General features: G+C 36.8%; 1 protein-coding gene across 1 annotated transcript in view, besides 1 other annotated feature; it reads right to left on the reverse strand.

The window, feature by feature from the left end:
* Positions 1–16,049, reverse strand: part of DPH6 (diphthamine biosynthesis 6) — a 401,189-nt gene that overhangs the window by 27,288 nt on the left and 357,852 nt on the right. The gene's annotated exons all lie outside the window — the stretch shown is intronic.
* Positions 10,559–11,539: an enhancer, noted in NCBI's record as "OCT4-NANOG hESC enhancer chr15:35475024-35476004 (GRCh37/hg19 assembly coordinates)". NCBI's record gives its function as "activates a minimal SCP1, AML or CMV promoter by ChIP-STARR-seq in naive and primed H9 embryonic stem cells {active_cell/tissue: H9 hESC(naive and primed)}" and the evidence as "EXISTENCE:reporter gene assay evidence [ECO:0000049][PMID:30033119]".

Genomic DNA, 16,049 nt, shown 5'->3' on the forward strand with positions numbered 1-16,049 from the left:
GACAATCTCTGGTTATTTGACACCACTATCATTTCTGACTCTGAATTTATACGCTACCGACAAGCAATCATTTTCTTACACTTATTTACTGTTAAAACAAGGTGTTTAGGGTAACTTGTACCGTCATGTTGGTGCTCAAAAAGTTTTGAATTTCAGAGCATGTCGGATTTTAAATTAGGGATGCTCAATCTGTATGTTCAATTCAATGTTATTTTAGTGCTTGCATGTCATGTAGCTATAAGTGCAAAAATATTTAAGTGTCTCACCTGTACAGATATAATTAATTCCTAAAGCATACAGAGCATCATTTGTGGTAACTTAGTCTGTGGCGCCATTCTTTTCATTGATTAGTCACAATTCAGGATAATTACAATAACTTAACTCTCAGAAACAGTTTGCTCTTTGTAAACCTTTGCATTTCTTTAAAAAATTTTGAGATGGGGTCTCATTATGTTGCCCAGGCTGGAGCACAGTGGCTATTCACAGGCACAATCATAGTGCACTGTAGTCTTGAACTCCTGGGCTCAAGCGATCCTCCTGCCTCAGCCTCCCAAGTAGTTGGGTCTACAGGCATGAACCACCATGCCCTTCTACCCTTGCATTTCATAAAGATTTTTATAATAAAAGTGATCCTCCTGCCTCAGCCTTCCGAGTAGCTGGGACTATAGGTGTTAGCCACCATGTCCCGCTACTTTTGCATTTCATAAAGACTTTTATAAAAAAAATACTTTTATATTATAAATGCAATTTGTTTTGAATGTATGAAAACTATTGCTTCTAAGTGCTATGATAGGTATTTAGATTTGTTTCATCCATTAGTTGTAATGGACTTAGTCTGGGTCTAAATCTGTCCCAGATTTCTGGGATCAGTACAGAAACTAGGGCTATTTCAACAAGATACTTTAAACAATCTAGCATGTCCAAATGTGAACTTGTTACCTTCCTTACCAAACATATCTTTTTCACCTTGGGAAATGTCAACTATCAACTCAGTTGTCCAAAGCTGTAGAACTGGGTCTTACCTTTGTCTCTTTTGTCTTACTTAGCTCCTTCTTTTCACCTCATTCCAGGCAGCCAACAAATCTTGTCATTTCTAACACCTTAAAACCACTTAAATATGCCTATTTCTCTCTGTTGTTTTACTTTTTTCTAAATATAGGCCACTGTCATTTGTATGCTGCTTTGATGTCTGCAAAGCCTCCTAACTGGTCTCCTCAACTCCAACCTTCTTCTTCAATCCATCTGCCACACTTCAGCTAGAGTAATCTTTTCCTAAAATGTATCTGCCTTTTTTTTTCAAGCTCCTGCATGCTTAAAATTATTCAATGGATTCTGGTCTAATGTCCAAACTTCTTAGCATGACTCATCAGGCCTTACAGAGTCTGTCCTGTATCTACTTCAACCAGCTCTGCATGCCCCACCCCTCACTCATTGCTGCAGCCATGTCGAATTAACAGCAATTCTTTCAGCTCTCTCTTCTCTCTAACCTCAATTTTGGAATTCTCTGTTCCATTGATACCGAAGGTCCTGCTCTAACTCTACTTGGGTCAATCATGTCAATATTCCCAGAGGTTAGACTTATCTTTTACTGGGGAAGTCTTTGCTGACCATCCCTTGGTCTCTGAATTGCACTGGTATGCCCCGTCACACCTATTCAGCATTCAACAAATATATCATGTGTCTTCCCTATGCCAGGTGCTGGTTTAGGTGTTTATGATATGTAACTGAACAGAACCATGAAAATCCTTGCCTCCATGGAGCTTGCATTCTTCCAGTGTTATCGTGACAATTTATCTCACTACTGTCCTTATTCTCTCTTCCTCCCTAGATAAAGGCAGTTACTCTCCTGAGATTATTGTATTATCATGATTGGTACAATGTCCAACCAGTAAATATTCACTCAGGGAATGAATAAATTGAGAAAATGGGAAGCAAAGAAATGCCAACATATTATCTTTCTTTTATATTAGATCATTATAATTTTTTTTGAAGCCACGGAAAACTTGCTTAGAAGTAAAAGAATTTAAGCCTTTTATTTTAGTTGGGAATTTGATGAGTAGACATATGAACATGTCTTCAAAATTATATGTAAGCCTTTCTCTCTCTGAATTTGCTTTCAATCATTGAGTCCTTTTATAACCTCTTTTAATTTCTAGGCCAATCTGCCCATTTCTGACCACCTGAGTCTATAATAGAAAAATCAGTATCAGTGATGGAAAAATCAGATTCAGAAACAGAAAAACTAGATGGTCCTCTGAAACAAAAATAAATTGAACACTAGGATTGAATATACAGTTTCTATAGGCTTGAGGTTACTTTGAGAGAAATGTTTTTCTTGCAAACCTAACAGTCATACTGAATTCCTAAACTGTGTTTCAGAATTCAAAGTAAAAATCTAGAAGACACGGAAAGGGTTTTTAATATTTTCAAAGCTCCTTGAGTTCCTTTTTCTCTAGGGAGAAGGGAGACCACAGTAATATTCTGGTATTCAAAAGAATACATCAGATGGACTTGAAAATTTAGGAGCTAATTACTTTCAAGATGATCTCAGGAAAAATTAAGGTGACATGTAGAGGTGGGGTGTCTAATATCATCATGATTCCACAATTCCTTTGCAAAACAAGTATGATTTATATGTAATTTAAAAAATATGTGTATCTCTTACCTGCCTTCTAAACATACACATATTTATTTAAACATCTGTATTTATGTTTTCATCCTCTTAGATACTTCATACTTACATATCTATGCTATTCTTTTTCAAAGCACTGTTGGCTGTTTCGTTTTTGTAGAGATCACAAGTCCACTTGATATTAGTGACTTATACTTTCCTCTGCTTTGTGAGTGTAGGTAATAGCCTTTTTGTATACCAATTTGCTTACACTGCAGTTTATGCTGGTAATACTGTACATTGCCTGACCTCTGAATGGAAAAATAATAACAAGTTAAAACAGTCATTTTACCTGAAGTCGATAAGGCCATAACACTCACCCTGTTTTCAATTCACATGCTCAATTTTCATCCACTCACTCTCGACTTTGAGAGGAAGGAATAATGACAGGTTACAGGCACTTTATTTCAAAATTCACTCACAAAGTTATTGACAAGCATTTTTCACAGCAACAGCTCTTCTCTGTGACCCTCGTGAGCTGTTTACATGAAAAATGCTCTTCCTTGTAGATTAATGAGAGTGGAACCTAATTCCATACCAAACATGTAGCAATTGCCTTAGCATCTCTGTTTTTGATATGGGAACAAAAGTAGGGATAATTTGCCTCAAATTGCAGTTGCTTCAGTCATAATAAAATCTCAGAGAGTACTGTTTGCTTTCAACTTTCATTAGGTAAGCTGGGGCTGTTATGAAGGTACCAACACATAAATGTTATATTAGCACTTTTTCAACTTTCATTAGGTAAGCTGGGGCTGTTATTAAGGTACCAACACATAAATGTTATATTAGCACTTAACAGAAGCATTGCATTCTCCTCTAGGAGATAAATTCTACCCTTGTCAATATAATTCCACACTGAACGCAGTAAAAGAGCTTGAAAAGATGAAATAGTGAAGCTTTGCACACAAAAAATAAATTCCTTGTTCATTCAAGCTTAAAGGCCATTTCGTTGGCCCAGGGTACTAGGGTACTGTTTAGAAAATAAGTCTGAGAGAAACTCTCTCAGGTCAAGTCAAACGTGGAGAAAAACTTTCAGACATGTTCTCTTTGTCTGAGGTTGTTAAATCAGTTACTTTAAATTTCTGCATGCCTTCAACTGGCATTTCAACTGTGAAGAGATAATAACAATTTAAGGTTAAGATGGAGTTTATTTCCAGACTTCAAATGATGAACATTGTGTGTGAATCACTGTATATACAATACCCACACATTTTAATTTTTTTGTAGGATGCTAAGCACTTTTAAAATGTAAGGTATTATGTATAGTGTTGTGATGGAGCTGCTGAAATTAAATCTTTGTTTATCCTTACTCTTATCACTACGTCTTTTAGGTACTCATAAAATAACTATCTCCAATTTAAGGCTAAGAAAAGTGCTGCCCCACTTAACAATATGAGGGCTATTTATTCTATAATGGAAGAAAAGGAAGAAAAGGGGCATCCAAGAGGTTGGCTATTGCCAGGCCTAACTTTTATCTTTTATCTTCATTCCCACCTTGTCAGGGTTTTTATCTTGCCATCATTCGACAGTTGTAAGGTCTTTTTTTTTTTTTTAAGATGGAGTTTCACTCTTGTTGCCCAGGCTGGAGTGCAATGGCGTGATCTCAGCTCACCACAACCTCCGCCTCCAGGTTTCAAGTGATTCTCCTGCCTCAGCCTCCCTAGTAGCTGGGATGACAGGCATGTGCCACCACGCCTGGCTAATTTTGTATTTTTAGTAGAGATGGGGTTTCTCCATGTTGGTCAGGCTGGTCTCGAACTCCCAACCTCAGGTGATCCGCCCGCCTTGGCCTCCCAAAGTGCTGGGATTACAGGCGTGAGCCACCGTGCCTGGCCTGTAAGGTCTTTTAATGAATCTATTGTCATTTGGATTATTTAATAGTCTTAATTGCACAAAACTGTCTATTTTAACTACCATAATAACAGTCAGACTAAAATGTTTTTCAGGTGACATGTGAAATATCAAAAAGACTAATGATTCTCTGCATTTCTAAGACATATGATTAGAAATAGCAGCGTACGGCATCTGATTCTATCTAAAGATGTTGGTGAAGACTGCTTAGCTTAAAGTTGTACTCATAGAATTGATTGTATTTGTATTTGCCAATGAATGCTACTATTCCACTAAACTAGGAAATAAATAACTGTCATTCAGCCTTTCCCACAAGGTTAATCCATTTCCACCAACCTCTCCTCATATCCCTTGCATTCTGGTAATCTGAAAATGGCCTGTAAATGCTTACTATGGCTAGACTTATGGAGAAAAGAGGTGTTAAGTACATTTCTACCGAGACTTCAAAGTCATGGATTTAGCAGATGTTGACTGTAACCAAGTTTTAAAAAAAACTAATTTATTTGGGCCATGCACGGTGGCTCCAGCCTGTAATCTCAGCACTTTGGGAGGCTGAGGTAGGGGGATGACTTGAGGCCAGGAGCTCGAGATCAGCCTGGGCAACACAGTGAGACCCCACCTCTCTACAAAAATAATAATAATAATAAAAATTAGCTGAGCATGATGGTGTCCACTTGTAGTCCCAGCTACTGAGGAGGCTGAGGTGGGAGGATTGCTCAAACTCAGGAGTTTCAGGCTACAGTGACCTATGATTGCACTTGCACTCCACCCTGGATGACAAAGATCCCATCTCCAAAAAAAAAAAAAAAAAAAAATCATCATCATCATCATCATCATCATCATCATCAATTTTTTAAAACTGATACTTTGTGGCCGGGTGTGGTGGCTCAAGCCTTTAATCCCAGCACTTTGGGAGGCCAAGGTGGGCAGATCACCTGAGGTCAGGAGTTCGAGACCAGCTTGACCAACATGGAGAAACCCCCATCTCTACTAAAAATACAAAAAATTAGCTGGACATGGTGGCACATGCCTGTAATCCCAGCTACTCGGGAGGCTGAGGCAGGAGAATTGCTTGAACCTGGGAGGCAGAGGTTGTGGTGAGCTGAGATGATGCCATTGCACTCCAGCCTGGACAACAAGAGCAAAACTCTGCCTCAAAAAAAAAATAATAATAATGTGATACTTTGTAATTGTACCTATTTATGGGATATAATTTGATGTTTCAATACATATATATGTTGTATGAAGATCAGATCAGGGTATTTAGCAGGACCATCACCTCATGCATTTATCATTTCTTTGTGGCATAAACAAGTTTTAAAATAATATTTTTGTTATATAACATCTATGTGAACAAAACAGATATTTCCTTTTCAAGACTAAATTGAAACAACTTTTATTCCACAAATAATTCTTCAAAAAATAACTTTTTGGGTTTCATATACTGTATTAGTCTGTTCTCACACTGCTAACAAAGATATACCTGAGAGTGGGTAATTTATAAAGGAAAGAGGTTTAATTGACTCACAGTTCCACATAGCTGGGAATCTATCACAATCCACCTCAAAATCATGGCAGAAGGCAATGAGAAGCAAAGTCATGTCTTACATGGCAGCAGGCAAGAGAGGGCATGTTCAGAGGAACTCTCCTTTACAAAACCATCAGATCTTGTGAGACTTATTCACTGTCACAAGAACAGCATGGGAAAGACCCGCCCCCATGATTCAATTACCTCCCACCAGGTCCCTCCATGACACATGGGAATTATGGGAGCAACAATTCAAGATGAGATTTAGGAGAGGACACAGCCAAACCATATAATATACCAACAGTTTAATATCCTGGCAAATATTGTATACAGAAGTTTTTTTGTTGGCTTCAAGAATTAGAAAGTATTTTTGTGTGTGATATGTGTAATTAAAAATTAAATATATGGTCAGAGCCAGAAGCTTCTCAACTGTCATTAAGTGCAAATTCAAATATACCTTTTAGAGGTATCAGGGGCCTACCATTTAATTAGAGTAAATACTCAACTGTAAGCTTTTGAATAACAGAGAATACATCCAACATATTTTTGTACCCCAACCAGCTAGTATAGTACCTAGTACCCAATAAGTGCTCAATAAATGTGTTATGCTGGCCGGATGCGGTGGCTCACACTTGTAATCTCAGCACTTTGGAAGGCCAAAGCAGGTGGATCACCTGAGGTTGGGAGTTCGAGACCAGCCTGACCAACATGGAGAAATCCCATCTCTACTAAAAATACAAAATTAGCCAGGCATGGTGGCACATGCCTGTAATCCCAGCTACTCAGGAGGCTGAGGCAGGAGAACGGTTTGAACCCAGGAGGTGGAGTTTGTGGTGAGCCAAGATTGCGCCATTGCACCCCAGCCTGTGCAACAAGAGCACAACTCTGTCAAAAAAAAAAAAAAAAAAAAAAAGAAAAAAAATGTTATGTTAACATTTTTCTGGAGGACAATTTACATCAAATTTTAAAATGCTTATTCAATTCATCCCCCAAAATTCAAGTTTAGAAATTTATTAGAAGAAAATAATTGGAAATGTCCACAAGAAAATAATTGGAAATATATAGGATGTTTATGTAGATAATAGCAAAAATTGTTAATAATGAAAATATCCAAAAAGAGTCAAATACATTACAGTATATTCCATAATAAAATACTGTTCAACTATAAAAATCTATGTTTTCATTTAAAGAACATTTACTTGTAAGGAAAAATAAAACATTATGTGGGAGAAAAGGCGGTTCAAAGACTAGAAGCCTTTAAATACATACATAATACATGTGTGCACTTATATTCACATATATGTGCATACAGATAGAAATGAGACAGGAAATATTACCTGTTGTGAAGAAAATACATATGTTTCTTGCAAGCCCCTGCTGGCTTGTAAAGACAGGGGATGCTAGGATGGCCCTTTGTTTACTGAATGGGGTGATACTTGTGAGAATGAGATGAGAGGATGGGAGACAAGACCAGCTCTATGCTGCAAAACTAAGGAGTTGATGCAGTTGGTGTTTAATAGGAAGTAGATGCATGGCAAAGAACAGAAGTCTAATAGAGATTTTCTACGGTTTTGCTGTGTAGTATGTATTGTATTTCTTCTCCTTTGTCTCCTTCTGAAAACGTCAGCAAAATTTTCATTTTTCTCTTGTACTTGTAAAGATAGATTTGTTTTGAGGAGGGGTGAGCTGACTTGCATTCAGGGGCAAAAAGCAAGGCTCTCTCTGGGACCCAATCCCATCTAATGATCTAACGAAAGAATATGCATGAAAATATTAAACATTCATTAGCTTAAATAGAGAGAGAAGGTGACTGTCATTTCTCTGTTTGTACTGTAATAGATTTTTCCAAATTTCTGCCATGAATATACATTACTATACTCTGAAAAAAAGTGATTAAAAAAATAAATTGATGTCAAATGAATAAGTGAATAAACTCATTAATTAATTAAAAATGGCATTGTAGAGAAAAACAATGTATATCCTCACATAGTAATTGCACTAATTTACACTAAATGTAAGAAAATCAGAGCCTTCCTTCAGTTTTGGTTGCTCCTTGAAATAAGACAGTTGGTTTTAAAACACACACACACACACACACACACACACACACACACACACACACACACACACTTGCCCAGTGGGTTCCACAATGCCTAATTAATTAAAAGATGTATTTGCCTACTTTGCTTACTTGCCCAGGCTGGCACACGATCATGGCTCACTGCAGCCTTGACCTCCTAGGCCCAAGCGATCCTCCCACGTCAGCCTCCCAAGTGGCTGGAACTACAAGTGTGTGCCACCATGCCCAGATAAGTTTTTTAACTTTCTTTTTTCTTTCTTTCTTTTGTAGAGACAGGGATCTTATCATGTTGCCCAGGCTGTGGACTGATCTTGAACTCCTGGACTCAAGAGATCCTCCCATCTCAGCCTCCCAAAGTGCTGGGATTATAGGCATAAGCCACCATGCCTGCCCTACTTTACTTTCTTGAAAAAAATGTGATATCTTGTCCTTTTAAATCAATACTTTAGTAAACAATTTTAATATATATTTCTTATGGCCAAAGTGAAATAGGCATTGAAAGTAATTTTTAAAATTCTGTTTTTATCTATTTTCCATTAAAAAAGGCAATATAAAAATACAAAAATATGCATTTAAGCAAATAATGAATGTAGCTGTGTTGACATTAGTGTTCTCTCAGTTACTACTCCCACTGATTAAGGGCACTGATACTAGCCAGACAACTGAGGCTTAAAATATGGTTCCACCACCAATTGGCTTTGAGCTCTTAGGGCAGTCACTTAACTTTTCAATTTTCTCATTTGTAAAATGGGGATAGGACTATTTCCCATCTCAGAGTTAAAATAATAATAACATTTTGTAGTATTTACAGATGTGTCTCGATGATTGCCTTATATTTGGGCATTGTCACATTACTCATGCCTGTGTTTACATTTGTGTTAGTGCCAGCAAGCACCTAAACATTCTTTCTCCTTTGCCTCCCTCTGGAAGCTTCAGCAAACTTTTCACTTTGTTTTAGTTAAGGTATTCATTTGGTGCCAACATATGTAAACGCAGGCACTAAATATAGCAGCCATCCTCCCTGTGTTCACTATTCTTGCCCTCAGATTCTCTTGTCAGTTATAAAAAAAAACTCTGCTTTTTAGTAAAAAAAAAAAAATTATCTTTTAATAGTTTAATAGAATGTGACTTTAGTTCCCTGACTTAATCAATTGAGATTATGATTGACATCAGGAAATAATATTGCAGTGAGTAATGTACTACTTTAACTGTCTTACATGATCAGAAATAGAGCTTAGGTGTACTTAATACATAAACAATGCCCTTGTCCCAAGTACAGGCCAAATGTTAAGATGACATGCTGAGCAAAAGGTTTTACAATAGTTCACATAGAGAGAAATAGTGGAAGAAATGAGTCATTTCATGACATATTGTAGCTTAGCTATACCAACCAGAAAAGAAGTCACACTATAGGAGTCAGCACTTACTTGGTAAGGAGAATTATCATGAGACCTATTTTTGTAAGTATTAATTAGCAGTAGCTCATTAGCAGTGTGTAGAAGTAAATGTATAATATACCTTTGTTTAATGATATTTCTTTATTAATCAATGTTGTAAAGAAGATTAGTAAAATGATTGTCTTTCTAAATAAAGATGTATGTAATTACTAAAAATAATTACAGCATGTGTCACAATAAAGTAATACTTTTAATTATAGTTGTATTGGTTTTGTAGGTTTGTTTTTATTTAGTCTTTACATTTGTTTTGGTTGTATAGTTGTATAAAACCTATAGATAAAGGAATTCATGGCTAATTTTACAGTTTTACATGTATAAGTATAATAACATAAGAAAATAATGCTGATCAAAACTGGACAACTCTAAGAATTTTTTTTTTTTTTTTTTTTTTTTTTTTTTTTTTTTACTTTTAAGGCCAAAAACCCTGAGAAATGCTATACTAGAGTAAACTGCTTTCTTTGCAGAGTGTTTCAGACTATATTATTACCAAAAGTAATGTGCAATTCTGGCTGAAAATTTAATACGTTTAGTTTCTATTGAAGAACTGGGATAGGTTTGTGAGCTTAATTATTATTGACAAGGGTGATGATGATAATGGTGAGGATTATTCTGCAAATCTAAAGGTGATGTTCCTACTCCCCATCGATAGCATGTACACTTTTCATACTTACCCACCGACAAAATTTTCATCCAGCTATGATATATAACATGCCTTTGCAAATTTTCATTACAAAATGAACAATACTTATCTGATTATTTTAGAAAGTTGAAGTGAGGAACAAAGGAATGTATGACAATTGTTAAAGAGCAAACTTCTATGGCTATACAAATGATATTATTTCATTGTGAATAATCTCAGATAATAAATAATCTCATCTGCTCTTTCAGTTTTGTTTTTGTGTAGGTGATCAGGTATAGGTTACAAGAAATTGGGTATAGGAAGCTCATTATTTCTTGGCTATAATAATATAATGTTGCTGAAACATGCTTGTTTTTAGAGGCTGCATATCACTAGAACTTTGGCACCATTCAGAGGATCAATGAAGCCTTCAAAGCAAAAAATACTATTTCCCTTCTTTGATAAATATAAAGCATATTGGTATAGATGGCACAATGCAAAACAAAGACTACAACTCCTGGAGCTGTAGCCCACATTACAGAAAGAACTGAAACTGAGAACTCTAGCTTTACCACCTGAGCTTCTGCCCTTGAATTGATATTAAGTAACCATATCACTCATAGCCTTTAATCTCCCTTGCTGATACCTTTTAATTTTTAAACAGCTCTACTTTACAAATCATATCCTCTTTCATGTGTTCTCTCAGCTAAAAAATTAATTTTGCAAGCAAAGTATCTAAACAGTAAGCATAGTAAGAATGAAACAGGTTAAAGCTCATTAGCAGCAGGGAGCAGATGTAGTAAAACTCTGCCAGTTCCCCTACATTTCCTTCTCAGCAGGGACTGGGCACCAAGCTGTGAGTTAGTTCTACAGCACAATGCTTGGCTGCTGTTTCAGCAATTGCGCCTCTACTGCTTCAAGTATAATACTAAGAATTCACTTTGATTTTTGATGTTTCTTTACAATAATAGTGTCTAAAAGGACCCTGCAGAGCTAAACGGTAACACTAAGCTCCAAGTGCCAGCTAATCAGAAAACTATAAAAATGTAATTGATAAGAAAATAATTACAGATTATAAAGTCAGTGTATCTTTAAAAATATTAACTTCTTGACAAACAGAGGCTTCAAGTCTGGATGAACTCAGTAACTGCTCAAGTTAAACTTCCTTCATATGTCATGTAATATCTAACATTCAGTAGCATGATTGTTACACAACAGATAAAAGATACTGTGTAAGGATCAAAGTGATACACTTATTATGATGTTAAAATAAAAGCAAATGAATTCTGTTATAAAAAACATAATTTCAAATTATTAGGCTAGGATTTCTTCCTTCATATACAATGTTAAAATAGAACCATCTTTGGGAAGACAGAATTTCAATCAAGTTAAGATGCCTATATATGTCAATATTAGCAAGGCTTTATTAAAATGTTCTTTTCTAAACATTAAAATCCTTTTCTAGGGCTAAAAGTAGTACTTAGATGTTAGAAAACACTGTTAGAGAGATGATCATCAGTATGAATTCACCTGCTAGACCGTATGTCCACGACAGATTTCTAGGACATAATTTATTCAGAAAAATGAACATGGACTATAAAATCCAATTCATGGAGTTTCCAACAAATCAGACTGCAACAGATGTAAATGTAACAATCAATAAATTTATCTGCTTATTCTTAAAACTCTGTAAATTACTTTCAAAGCTGATGCTATATGTTTGTTTACTGTGTTTCTGTAGATTCAGTTTTGCGATGGTTTCATTCAGCCAAGTCTGATAGACAGGATGCTTTTAGAAGAATGACATTAACAGTGTTCCAAGAAAGCTACTCTAAATCCTTCAAAGAAAGAAAAAGAAACTCCTTAGAAGTGCAATTACTGGGAGACTGGGAATGCATATTCTGAGCATTCTGAGCTTCTAAAATAAACTCATAATCCTCCCACTGAAAAGTAATAGGATTGGCCTCAAAGCCTGTAGCAGAGCTAAACCTCCAAGTAGGGGTTAACTCTCCCATTTCATGAAAATTCAAATGGCAAGGTCAAAAGGATCATTATACAGTGAAGACGTTGACCTAAAAAAAAAAAGTTGGCCTATATACTAAGGTTGATTGATTGCTTTGAATTCCTTGATCCATTTTCCATTGTAAAAAGAGGAAAACTGGGTTTCCTGACATGTCTCCTCTGAAGCAAACATTTTTGTTTATCTTCAGATGCAACTAGGTTCCAAGGGTTTATACTAATTAGAGCATGCCCTTAGAAGCCTGGGTTAATTTTTCAAACTCAGTAGGTTATATGTTACATTGGAAGTCATGGTAATAATCACCTAGGACTTGTTGTGTGTCCTTAAGTATACACAAGTCAGTGGGTCATTTTGTAGGGTCAGCATTTTACCACGCAATTTCAATGGTTCTAAAGACAACTGAACTTCCTTAGCAACCTCTAGCAGAGGTTTTAAAGATTTTCCCAAAGTTTTCCATTGGAACTATGGCACTGAAAACTTCCTGTGAATTCTGCTTTTAGGTTTAATTAGAAATTGACTAGGAAGAATAGACTTGAATTGAAAGTGAAGATATATATGTAGAAAAATTGACAAAAAATACAGCTCCAATGTGGGAAAAAAAAAACTCAATCCACAACAAATGACTTAAAAAAATAGTGCTCTCTAGTATTTTATAGGTACATAAAACATGGACAACCACTGACATTATATCTACCTTTTGGAATAATTTCATCTGGGTTGCCTGCCATCCCAACTGCGTATCAAGTGACAAGAAAAGAGTAATAACTACAAAGTCCTTGAAAACAGCCAGACCACCAGGATTGAAGGGGTAGTCATCAAAACACAATTTTGCTAACTGATCAGGTATGAGGAAGAGACAATAGCAGGATACTCAACAAGCTGGAGTATAGTGTTCTGAAATGTGACATTTCCAAATAGGGAGGACAGAGAAGTGCTTTAGATTACTATTGAAGCAGACCCTACAGCAATATAGAATTAACTGTAGATGACTATGACATTAAGTGACAGAACAGCCTGGTATGTAGCTACAAGGAACAGAGTTGTTGTTTTTCAGTAATTTCAGGCTGATTACTGTCTGGAAGGTAGAGTTGCAAATAGCAGTGGACCTTTCAGATAGTAGCTGCTACCAAATAAATGACAATTTTCACACGAAAATTTTCGAGCGTAGAAGGTATTAGAAATCATAGAATTATAGACTGGACAAAGTCATAAACATCATCTGTCCAATCCACTCTTTTTTTTTTTTTTTTTTTTTTTTGATACGGAGTCTGTCTCCCAGGCTGGAGTACAGTGGCGTGATCTCAGCTCATCGGCTCACTGCAAGCTCTGCCTCCCGGGTTCACGCCATTCTCCTGCCTCAGCCTCCCAAGTAGCTGGGACTACGGGCGCCCGCCACCACGCCCGGCTAATTTTTTTTGTGTTTTTAGTAGAGATGGGGCTTCACCGTGTTAGCCAGGATGGTCTCGATCTCCTGACCTCGTGATCCGCTTGCCTCGGCCTCCCAAAATGCTGGGATTACAGGTGTGAGCCACTGCGCCCGGCCCCCAGTCCACTCATTTTATACAAAGGAAACAAAGTTTCAGAAATGTGTATCTTGCTCACCAGTCGGAAGCAGAGTTTGCCTTTGAACCATGTCTCTGGATCTTTCCTAGCCATATACCCTACTATAACATATTTTAGGAGCATCATCTTTAAAATACAGTTGCAACCTCCTAAATTGGAAGAAAGCCTGTAGCAACTCCTTTATATCTTCAAAGAAAACCTGGGGAGGGGGCAGTACATAAGGTGTGAAATCTATGAACTCAAAACCTTTAAGTGATTATTAAATATAGGATCCTGATGATATCTTTAAATTTCTAATCCAGTTCTATGATTTTTAGTCCAGCACAAAAACCTACTGTGAACTTGAAGGGAATTCAGAGGTCATCTCCTTCAACCCTTTTGTTTTAAGGTGTAAGAGGGCTCTTAACTCATTTCCACATAAGTACCCCTCAGCTCCTGCTCTCTCTGTAAACACGTTCACTGATACTCACAGCAGGATGAATGATTTAGGCTGCTAGCTCTTCTCTGGAATTTCCACCACCCTGCTTCTACCAGCTGAGTTATGAATTTACAGATCACCATTGTCTTTATTCCAAACATGAATATGCTAGCTGCAGTTGTTATGTATTTTCTATTAAGTATTACACAAGCCTATGGAATATGAATGTGAAACAAAATCAATTTGTTTCTGTAAAATCCAAGTTCAGTATTTTGGACAGGCTTTACAAAAGTGAATTGTTTTTAAAAACATTCTGACCATGTTGGCAAGGATGTGGAGAAACTGGGGCCCCTTTTCCTTTGGTGGAAATGCAAAATGGTGCAGCCCTATAGAAAACAATATGAAGATTCCTCAAAAAATTAAAAATAGAAATAAAAGATAATTTTGGCTTAAAAATGTAAAGAATAGTATGATGATTTAATCACTTCTATTACAATCAAGCTGTTCATTCAGTTCAATAAGTATTTCTTTGGGCCTGCTTTGTGTTAGGCACCATGACAGGCATCTTATTACATAATGTGGAAGGAACATGAAATTTGAAGTAAGACCTGGGCTCAAAGTCTGGCTCTGCTTTTAATATCTACCTCATTAAGTTGCCTAGAAGATTTAATACTAGGCTACCTGACCCATGGTAGGTGCTCAATAAATATCAGTTTCCCAGAATATATAATCACATTGAATCATCATGACAACTGACAAGTGGGCATGATTATCCTCATTTTATAATCATATACCTAATAATTTGGGAACTGATACATAAACCTAGTCTAAAGCCTGTGCTCTTTCCACTACAGGATACTATCTCATGATGGTATAATTTTTAGTAGGATTCTATTCTGAATGATTTAGCCAGGTTGAGTTGCAAATGTACCAGTAATAGCTGAATGGATTAATATAACTACTCAAAATGAACTGAACAGATTTTTTTTAGTGGTAATTGTTTATACGTTGGGGAATACTTGCCAAATACAATTGTTTAAACTTTACTAGTGTTTATGCCCAGCTGCTTTTTTTGTCCAGTTGCTCAAGGAGCTGCTTTTATTATGATGATTTTTGATTTAGTATATTTTATAATATAAGGACCAGTCATGCCAAGTAATTGAATTACAAGTTTAAAAGAAGGGAATGGCAAGGGCACAGTCCTAATTTTTACCAATTAGAATTAGAATTCAGGCTGGCTGCAATGGCTCATGCCTGTAATCCCAACACTTCGGGAGGCTGAGGTGGGAGGATTGATTGAGCCCAGAAGTTCAAGACCAGCCTTGCCAACATAGAGAGACCCTGTTTCTAATTTACAAAAACAAAAGCAAAACCCCCACAAACATCTCAGGCCAGGTGAGGTGGCTCATGCCTGTAATCCCAGCACTTTGGGAGGCTAAGGCAGGCAGATCACTTGAGTCCAGGAGTTCAAGACCAGCCTGGGCAACATGATGAAACTCTGTCTCTACAAAAAATACAAAAATTGGCCAGATGTGGTGCTGCTACAGTAGGTAGCTAGTCAGACATGAGCAGGGCAGGAGAGGGCATCCCCCCTGCACTAGGAATGTCAGATGACCATCAGGTGATGGTCAGGCAGCTGTTAACTGTCTCTCTAAAATAATAATTGGTCACAGACAGTGCCAGGGAAAGGCACTCTCCCAATAGAGAGAAATATCTGAAACTAGTGATTATCAGCTTCCTCATAAGATCTCGGGAGTTGGCTGAGTGGGCTCACCTATGCACACTAAGAGGCAAAATGGTGGATGAGCTTCCTCTAGGAACATTGGACGGGTAAGGGAAAAA

Source organism: Homo sapiens, chromosome 15 (assembly GCF_000001405.40).
Source record: "Homo sapiens chromosome 15, GRCh38.p14 Primary Assembly".
Taxonomy (NCBI): domain Eukaryota; kingdom Metazoa; phylum Chordata; class Mammalia; order Primates; family Hominidae; genus Homo; species Homo sapiens.